Source organism: Homo sapiens, chromosome 12 (assembly GCF_000001405.40).
Source record: "Homo sapiens chromosome 12, GRCh38.p14 Primary Assembly".
In the NCBI taxonomy this organism is placed as follows: Eukaryota; Metazoa; Chordata; class Mammalia; order Primates; family Hominidae; genus Homo; species Homo sapiens.
The window spans coordinates 92,397,308-92,406,863 of record NC_000012.12 but is presented as its reverse complement, the minus strand read 5'-3'; the positions used below and the strand labels follow the sequence as shown (position 1 = coordinate 92,406,863).

The following is a 9,556-nucleotide window of genomic DNA, read 5'->3' as shown; positions in this document are numbered from 1 at the left end:
TTGCGGGCCACCTGGAGTTCCAGGTGGGCGTGGGATTGGCGGGCTCCGCACTCGGAGCAGCCGGCCGGCCCTGCCGGCCCCGGGCAATGAGGGGCTTAGCACCCGGGCCAGTGGCTGCGGAGGGTGTATTGGGTCCCCCAGCAGTGCCAGCCCACTGGCGCTGCGCTCGATTTCTCACCAGGCCTTAGCTGCCTTCCCTCGGGGCAGGGCTCGGGACTTGCAGACCGCCATGCCTGAGCCTCCCACCCCCTCCATGGGCTCCTCTGCGGCCCGAGCCTCCCCGATGAGCACCGCCCCCTGCTCCACGGCGCCCAGTCCCATCAACCACCCAAGGGCTGAGGAGTGTGGGCGCAAGGCGCCTGCAGCCCCGGTGCGGGATCCACTGGGTGAAGCCAGCTGGGCTCCTGAGTCTGGTGGGGACGTGGAGAACCTTTATGTCTAGCTCAGGGATTGTAAATACACCAATCTGCACTCTGTATCTAGCTCAAGGTTTGTAAACACACCAATCAGTACCCTGTGTCTAGCTCAGGGTTTGTGAATGCACCAATCCACACTCTGTATCTAGCTACTCTGGTGGGGCCTTGGAGAACCTTTGCGTGGACACTCTGTATTTAGCTAATCTGGTGGGGATGTGGAGAACCTTTGTGACTAACTCAGGGATTGTAAAGGTACCAATCGCGCCCTGTCAAAACAGACCACTTGGCTCTACCAATCAGCAGGATGTGGGTGGGGGCAGATAAGAGAATAAAAGCAGGCTGCGGGAGCCAGCAGTGGCAACCCGCTCTGGTCCCCTTCCACACTGTGGAAGCTTTGTTCTTTTGCTCTTTGCAATAAATCTTGCTGCTGCTCACTCTTTGGGTCCACACTGCCTTTATGAGCTGTAACACTCACCGCGAAGGTCTGCAGCTTCACTCTTGAAGCCAGCGAGACCACGAACCCACTGGGAGGAACGAACAACTCCAGACGCGCTGCCTTAAGAGCTGTAACACTCACCGCGAAGGTCCCCAGCTTCACTCCTGAGCTGGCGAGACCACGAACCCACCAGAAGGAAGATACTCCGAACACATCGGAACACCAGAAGGAACAAACTCCGGACACGCTGCCTTTAAGAACTGTAACACTCACCGTGAGGGTCCGCAGCTTCATTCTTGAAGTCAGTGAGACCAAGAACCCACCCATTCCGGACACACTAGGATCACATTAGCTTTTTCACTCACCACTTCACCCAGTTACTATATATCAATCTTACTTTCTACAAAAAGTTTTAAAATTTTATATAAATGTAATTGTTAAGCCAAATTTCTTGCATTGCTATAAGGTTTTATATTCCCAAGAGAAGGTTGTTATACTTATGCCTATACACTTTTAGTATATTCTATTTGATCTTGTATTTTCAATCTAAATGGAAGTTACTGCATTCTCAAAGCCCTCCTACTACTTAACCGTGGCTAATACAGTTTCCTAGAACACAAGGAGAGTGATCAAGACTCATTTGTTAGTGTAAATGTCTTTTCCCTGGCATTATAAATGACTAGTGTCAGGGAAAATTACTAAGCTGATATTTAGGAAATTTTTTTCTATTTTTGAAAAGTTATTAAAAACACACACACACACATACACCAGCACACATTCTTGGGATGAAGCCTAGCACAACTGTTTCAATGTGAATTCCTTTAGCCTTTTCTCCTTTTGGACAGGGAGTTTCACTGTGTGTGCTGACACATTGTGTGGGGTTGAGAAGGACAAGAAAGGAGACCAAAGATAAGGCAGAAGAAGCGGGTGGATACCACAGATAACACTTTAGGCAGGTTTAAAATTCTTATTGAAGAAAACTCACCTAGCAGTGGCTGAACTAGGTGACCCTGAAGGCTCCTTACAAACCTATGATTCTCATAATCTATCTCATAAATAAGCAGATTCCAGCCCCAGAAGCCTCAGTGTACCAACCTAGGAAACGGTAGCATTCTTTTTTTGAAATACTTGTTCTAAGTACTGTCTCTTCAGATCAAGAATGGTGTTCCTTCTTAATAGCTCCTCCATTATCACTACTCCCCCAATCACTATCTTTGTGACTATGAAAGCCTGACTCTGAAGGCTAATCCTTAACCTTCCTGGTCTTCTTTACTAAAGTCAGTCTTTGGTATGAGTCATTTGAGATGGATGCATGGGCCTTTTCTGTAGTAATAGCAACAACGATAGTAGCAATACTAATAGTTAATATTAATTGAGCACATACTACATGTGAGGAACATGCTGTGGCATAGGTACTATATTACTAACTACCACATGTTACTGAAGAGTAAGCTGAGGCACAGAAAATTACATAGTGCCAGGGGCAGTTAAATAGGCACTCCTAACTATAGAATGCAAATTACCATTCACACATGGGCATAGTTCCTGCCATTTACCACCCTCAGAGGCTGCAGACTTAGCTGCCAAACTGCCAAAGGTTTACACAGATGTAAATTTCAGGCTACATGAATCCCATAACTTTTTGTGCCTACTTTTCACTAATTCACCTGACTTTGACATCTCATGCTTCTATAAATGTCTTTTAACTCAGTGGTTAATAAGAAGCTAAAATGGTATTTTGGTATAATTACAAAGTAATCAGCATAAAGTTTTGGGCAACAATTGAATTAGTGGCTCCTCGAACAAAAGGACAGAACATGTTACATTTTAACATGGTGCGTAAAAAAAATGCTTACAGGATCAAGGCCATTAATCCCTTTAGTTCACTTGGACTGAGGGTGGGGAAATCCCAAGAAACAGCAATTCAATCACCTTCTTGAACAGCCCACATGCTCAGATGATTTCTGAGAAATGAACTTAACTTTTAGAGGTTTCATGATCAGCTGCTGGATGACATCCGGCACCAACTTAACCACTAATCTCAGATCTCATAGCAACACAGATCGCCTGGAACTCAAAATAGTCCTGCCTCAAGCTCTTTTCACTTCTTATCACTTCAGCAAGAGCATGTGAAGGAAAGGTGTCTATCAGCCAACAGCTGCTAATTTTCAGAGAAATGAATGGATGTGTGGCTGCTTCCATTTAATCAGTCACCATCTATCTCAGCAGTATTAATGCTTCCATTTGACCAGCCACCTCTATCTACACATACTTCTTTTTTATCTAAGAGTCTACTGGACTTTTTCAAATTCATCTGAACATGTGATATTTTCACAGGGCTCAACATTGAACAAAATCCTCTTTAATCCTAACCTTTCACCACTTTATTTTATTTCTCAACATTTCCCTTTCATAGAAACACATTGGAAGCTAATCCCCAAGACTTTGAGAGAAGTCACCCAAGAAAGTCTGACTTTGCTGGAAGATCTTTAAGCTGCTTCAAGCCTTGGATGTCATCTGATCACTGCTCTTGATTTCTTTATCCTTGGACTGCAGTTAGAGACTTGGCTGCTATAAAGTGAATTACTCTTGAATAAGGGCATAGTTTCCACTGTGATAACCTTGTTTCTATCCATGACAGCTAGGGAAACTGCAGCCTGAGAGTGCTTTGCTTGGTAGCAGGTGTAATGTAGTTTTGACTAAAATTCTGTTGAAGAAAACTCTCTCAGCTTGCCCCCAAACAATTTATGTCAGCAGAAGAAATAAATAAAGAAATAATAATAGAGTATATTGTTTGAATTTGTTGCAGTGGGGTATATTGTTTTATGACAAAAAAACAAGTATCAATTTTTAGTTGCACACTTCTAGGTCACCTAAATGGTTGGTTCTGGCACAAAATTTAATATAAGGAAATGTGAAAACTCCTCCCCTAACTTCTGCCAAGCCTCTCCTGTATGGTTAACTGCTGCTTTCATGTCCCCTGTCACTGAGAGGACTTTGGTAGTCATATTTCATCTCTGTAATTCCCATATGAACTTGCCTTAAGTTAAAAACAACCAAGGATACATTCTCCTTTGCTTTGTAGGAGGTGGTGCCCAGAGTTCATAAACTGAATTTAAATTATACCAAAAGAGATCTTCAAACTGTGAAGAAAGCCTAGCATATGACAGTTTGCTCATAAAGACCAAGTAAAGCTACTGTATTGCAGAGGAACCAACAGTTTAGTATAATCCAATTCAATTTGCAAGCAATCATTAATTATTTTCTGGGTTTATTATATCATTAATAGCTGTAAATAAGCCACGTATTTCAGTTGAAAGGAATCAATTCTACCTTTAAATCAAATTTGAAGAAGAGGAAGGGGAAAAAGAAGAAGAGGAAGAGAAGGAGGAAGAAGAAGAAAAACAAGAACATGAAGAAGAAGGAGGGGGAGAGGTGAGGAGAAGAAAAAGAGGTAGTGGAAAAATAAGGAGGAGAATAGAAGGGAGAGGGATAACAATGATACCACCTTTTAAGAAATCAAAAACTGGATCTGTTAGTCCTCCCTCCCTCTCAGGCACCCAATCTCAGGTGTTGCTAGACAGAGGACAGCAAGACCCTTCTAATTTCCCACCGCAGCAATACACCCAAGTGCCATCTCTTCCTGAAATGCTAGAAGGGAGCTAACATTCACTGGGCTCCTCTTACAATCATGTACATTCTTTGGTACTTTACATGACTTAGATATATAGTTCCATTAATTTCTCAAACAATAGTATAAGGTAGACAATGTTATTTCCATATTTATAGATTAAGTTCAAGAGGTTGAGAAATTTGCCTTAGGTAACACAGCTAACAAGAGAGGAGCTGGCATTTAAATCCGCATGTCTGGATTGCCAAACCTAGACTTGTTCCATCATCTCACATGCACTTCACCTTCTCTGCTCTGCCAGGAGATTGATCTGGTATCTCCTTTGCAATCTGGTAAGCCTGTCTGTCTGGCACAGCTTACCCAAAAAGGGTCTCCTAATACCAATCTTTGTTCCCATACATTGTTGGTGAGTCCCAGCCCAAGCAAGGGCAATTTGCTTTTGCAGGTTACTTTCCCAAAGTGGCTATGCATTTGTGTTTCTTACCACTGAACATAAGGCAGTCCATTGCTCAGGCATAAACCCCAACCCGAGACAACTGGGTACATTGATAGTTACCACACAGATGAAAAAACTTTGATGGAAAGGGCAAACACTGGGAAACACATGGAAAATTGGTTTCATGTGGTTTGATTACACTGACTTAAAATATCCCTTTTTCCTGATCAGATCAGAAATTGATATGTGTGTTGCTACTCTGAGCTATGAGTCTGAGTATTTTTTTTTTAATGATGTAGGGACTCTTCTTTTGAATATCTGTGGGCCCTTTAAATGAGATGGAAGAAAATCTTCCAATATTGTCACACTTGATATAATATTTTTCAAGGAGAGACTGTCAGGATGAGGATGTACCCTCACAACCCATATTAAGGAGAAAAGCAAAAGAAATTGGAGGAGAGAAGACTTAAATGTGCTGAGGGCTGATTCTGACTCTGTGCCAGGCGCTAGGTTTGCCACTTGGCTAACTTTATTTTCTTCATTCCTCTCAACAACCCTGTGAAGTATAAACATTCTACCTGCACACCACCACCACTACCACCACCATCACCATCACCACCGCCACCACCATCACCACCATTACCATGAAGACTGAAGGAGCAATACTCCATGTAGGGTCCAGTAGCTGTTGCGTGATGGAGCTGAGAATTGAAATCATATCTCCCTGGGCTGTTTTCACTACACTGCACAATCTTCTAATGAGCAGGGCTCTGTTTTTGGCCTGAGGAATGAAACAGTGACAAGGCGTACTCTGTGTGTGTGTGTCCTGTATTCAAGAGGCTTAAAATCTAGTTAGGAGACAAATTTAAAAGGTCAGTAGCAACCGATGCTTGTAAAAATGCTAAGCCCAACAAAGGTACAGAAGTCCAAAGGAGCCACTGATTACAAAGACCCCAAGTCGTGGAGGAGTTTTCATGAAGGACAGAGACTTGGATTGGGCTTAGAAAAGAAAGCCGAGGACTTACAGACATGGAGAAGAGGCCAACAGCTGTCCCAGAAGGCAGATCACCTTGGGCTAAGAATACACATGCTGTTTTTAGGGAACAAAGTGAGTGGCTGTGGCTGCTGTTATTTCAGAGGTGAGCATAGAGCGAGAGTTAAGAAATGCCCCTTTGGAAGGTCTGTTAGACCCTTGCTCCTCAAAGTGTGGTCTGAGCACCAGTGCTGTCAACATCACCTGAGTGCTTGTTAGAAATGCAGAATCTGGTTGAGTGCAGTGGCTCAAGCCTGTAATCCCAGCACTTTGGGAGGCCAAGGTGGGAGGATTGCTTAAGCTCAGGAGTTCCAGACCAGCCTGGGCAACACAGTAAGACCTCATTTCTATTAAAAAGAAAGAAAGAAATAAAGAAATGCAGAATCTTGAGCCCTGCACCCAACCCACTGAATTTGAATGTGCATTTTTACGTGGTTTCCCATGTGATTTGGAGGCACAATGAAAGTTTGAGAAGAACTTCCTTAAAGAAGTAGGTTCACTCCTCTCATTTTTCATCCTTTAGATACCAAAATAAGGCTGAAGAGGACTAGAATGTCTTCTTTCTGCCACTCTGTCCTCTTTTTCTCTTCTCTCCCGGCTCTTTGTGTAGAGGCCTAGGTGGCTGTTGGTAAACTCAGGGCCTTTCGTAGTGCTCCCTTTCTGCTGCTTTGCCTAAAACCCAGCATCCTTTTTCTGAAACTTCTGTGTGTCATGCTTCTTCCTTTTCACTGGTACTCACTGATCTGCGAATGTCACACTCGAGAATGTGGAGCAAATGTGTTTTGTACCCAAATATCTACAACACAGAACAATTCAATTGCGTTTCCAAGAGTCAGCCCTAAAGAATTGGCCTGTGTGTAAATGTGCCTGACCTGAGCATAAGAGACTGTTCTGTGTTACTAGCATCACCCAAATTCAGCAGTGGGCTTTGGAAGGACAGGGCTGCCCTCAATGGACCTGTTTGGATTCAGAACACCTTGAGAAGAGAGACGCAGTTACAAAGTTGGGGCCCTGCCTTGCAGTTCACTCCATTTGTTCTATCTAAAATCTTAATTCCCATTGTTTTTCTTATCACTTCTTGGACTTGGGACCACAACTACCATTTGGAAAGATTTCAGGCTCAGGAGAAGCCAGGGAAAAAGAAATGTATACAAAAACTGAGCGCTCTTCTAGTTTCCAGATCTGACAAGTGAACAGCTTGGAAGTTGTCACCCTTATCTACAAAAGAAAAAAAAAAACTGAACAAACTGAAAACTGGAAACTCTTCTTAGAACCTTCGGAAAATTGAGATCACAGGCCAAACTGCCTCCCAGAGAACAGGGGAGTCAGACGGATGGATACAGAGAATTTCAGTTTACCAGGAGCAGAAGCCAGGAAACTGAGCAGTAATTAACAAACTGCTGTAAGCTGTGTGTGGACAAGTTTGAGACTTAAAAACTCCCAGCGGGCCCAATCACAGGGGCCTCCCCATACCTTCCTGAGTTGTACCTCCAGGAGTAACATCAGGTTTCCACTATGGAACCTGAAGAAAAATCCTCTCCTCTTTCCCTTTGGGGTTGAGGGGTTGGGGCGGAGAAATAGCCGTGTTGGAATAAGCCCAGAGCTCTCTGTTCTCCTTAAGAAGGATTTCCTTCAAGGGAAAATACTTTACAAGAACCCATCCCACGGGGGTTTTACCAGGGGCCTCATCGACCTGGGAAAGGGAAATACCCAACTCAGGCTCACTGAAAGACAGATCTAATCACAGGGCTGTAGAATTCTTTCTCTCCCCCGACACAGTACCAACACAGCAACGATGCTCCAAGTAAATAACAAGGGATTACAGCTCAAAGAATTGCAAGCCTCAGTCCCTATGTCAGGAGTCTCTAGGAAAATTCAAGCACAACAGGGGAGACGAAAGCAAGGGCACAGGAAATTTTAGCCCCTGATACCACAGCTACAGCAAATGGTAAAACCACAGCCTAACTCCTAGCCGGATAAACATAAAACCTTATGCTAAGTTAGCGGGGAATCTGTAATGAAGGTACTTGACCAGCTGTAGTCTTTGATCACAATAGCAGGATGTTCTAGGTTCTCTGCTTAGAAAAGAAACAAAGAAATAAGAGAAACAACCACATGGTTCTGAGATTTAGAGAGGAGGGAACATTACCTTCCTGCAAGCTCTACCCTCTTTGAACTTGATGGGTGTCATCTAGCCACAGACAATTATTTATCTGCAGTTCTTACTGTCTTGTGAAATACACTGCAGCTGACATTTTAGAGATTACAGAACCCAGTTGGTTTATTTGTTGCAAGTCATCAAGATTTCTATGAAGGCGTTATAGATTATTGCAGTAATGAGTTCAGTTAATTAATGCTAAGTATTTAAGGTGATAACTTTACATTGACAAATCTTACATGTTCAAGTTTCTCCAGCCTCTTTTTCCAACCTGCCTGCCAATGTGTGGGTGCCATGGGGGAGAAAACTCTCCTGAGAGTTAAGGACAACTAGCTTCCAGTTCTGATTTTGCTATATATTTGTTGTGTAATCAAGGGGAAGTCACGTATCCTTTCTGAGGCTCAATTTTCCCACCTGTAAAAGAGGATAATAATAGTTACCCTATTTCAACCCCAAAGTCAGGATCAAATAAACTAGTAAGATGTCGTATCAATGCAGTTATTTTTTTTCCTGTACTCTGTAGGCCAAGACCAATGCACAGTGATTAACGTCTGTTAAAAAAAGTCCATAATTGTATATGTATATTATATGATAAGAGTACTGATAATCACTAAAATTAAGTATAATTCAGATGCAACTTAAAAATCAGTCCTCAGAAAATATGAACATTGATATGGTTTGGATCTGTGTCTCCACCTAAATCTCTTGTTTAATTGTAATCCTCAGTGTTGGAGGTGGGGCCTGGTGGGAGGTGATTGGATCATGGGGGTGGTACTTAATGAATGGTTTAGCACCATCTCTTGGGTATTGTTAATGTGATAGAGCTCTCATGAGATCTGGTTGTTTAAAAGTGTGTGGCACCTGGCCCTCCGTCTCTTCCTCCTGCTCTTGCCATGTGAAGATGTGCCTGCTTCCCCTTCACCTTCTTCCATGATTGTAAGTTTCCTGAGGCCTCCCCAGCCATGCTTCCTGTAGAGCCTATGGAACCATGAGGTAGTTAAACCTCTTTTCTTTATAAGTTATCCTGTCTCAGGCATTTATTTATAGCAATACAAGATGAACAAATATAAACATTTTAATAGAAATCATGAGTTTCTCTGAGTTTCACTGTATTTTTCTGATTTCTGCACCTTCTCTTCGTGAGACTCCACATTCCATCTCCTTTGCATCTCTCTCCAGAGCCCCACTTAGGTTGTGAAGGTGTTTGGGGCAAAACAGAGTTTTGAAATTTCCAAACATCTTTGAGACACTCTAGTCAGTTTAAAATTGGCTGCATGTGGATTTTTTCTCTAAAAGGAAACCAAATAAAATGTTCTTGACATGGCAAACAAACAGCCATCCTTCCTGAGGGCAATATTTTTAGGAGCTAAGTGTAAATGAATCAGAAACAGCCATGGTAATTGCTTGTCCTTCCAAACACAAAAGAAGTTAAAAAATACATTTCTC

General features: G+C 42.8%; 5 annotated features.

Annotated features, from left to right (window-relative positions):
* Positions 1,573-2,022: a transcriptional cis regulatory region, noted in NCBI's record as "candidate enhancer chr12.2881 targeted for multiplex CRISPR interference". NCBI's record gives its function as "positively regulates BTG1 gene expression with high confidence in K562 cells {active_cell/tissue: K562}" and the evidence as "EXISTENCE:mutant phenotype evidence [ECO:0000015][PMID:30612741]".
* Positions 2,615-2,864: an enhancer, noted in NCBI's record as "active region_6733". NCBI's record gives its function as "activates an Ori minimal core promoter by ATAC-STARR-seq in GM12878 lymphoblastoid cells {active_cell/tissue: GM12878}" and the evidence as "EXISTENCE:reporter gene assay evidence [ECO:0000049][PMID:35858748]".
* Positions 2,615-3,186: a biological region, named in NCBI's record as "CRISPRi-validated cis-regulatory element chr12.2880". NCBI's record gives its function as "regulatory_interactions: BTG1".
* Positions 2,653-3,186: a transcriptional cis regulatory region, noted in NCBI's record as "candidate enhancer chr12.2880 targeted for multiplex CRISPR interference". NCBI's record gives its function as "positively regulates BTG1 gene expression with high confidence in K562 cells {active_cell/tissue: K562}" and the evidence as "EXISTENCE:mutant phenotype evidence [ECO:0000015][PMID:30612741]".
* Positions 6,398-6,547: an enhancer, noted in NCBI's record as "active region_6732". NCBI's record gives its function as "activates an Ori minimal core promoter by ATAC-STARR-seq in GM12878 lymphoblastoid cells {active_cell/tissue: GM12878}" and the evidence as "EXISTENCE:reporter gene assay evidence [ECO:0000049][PMID:35858748]".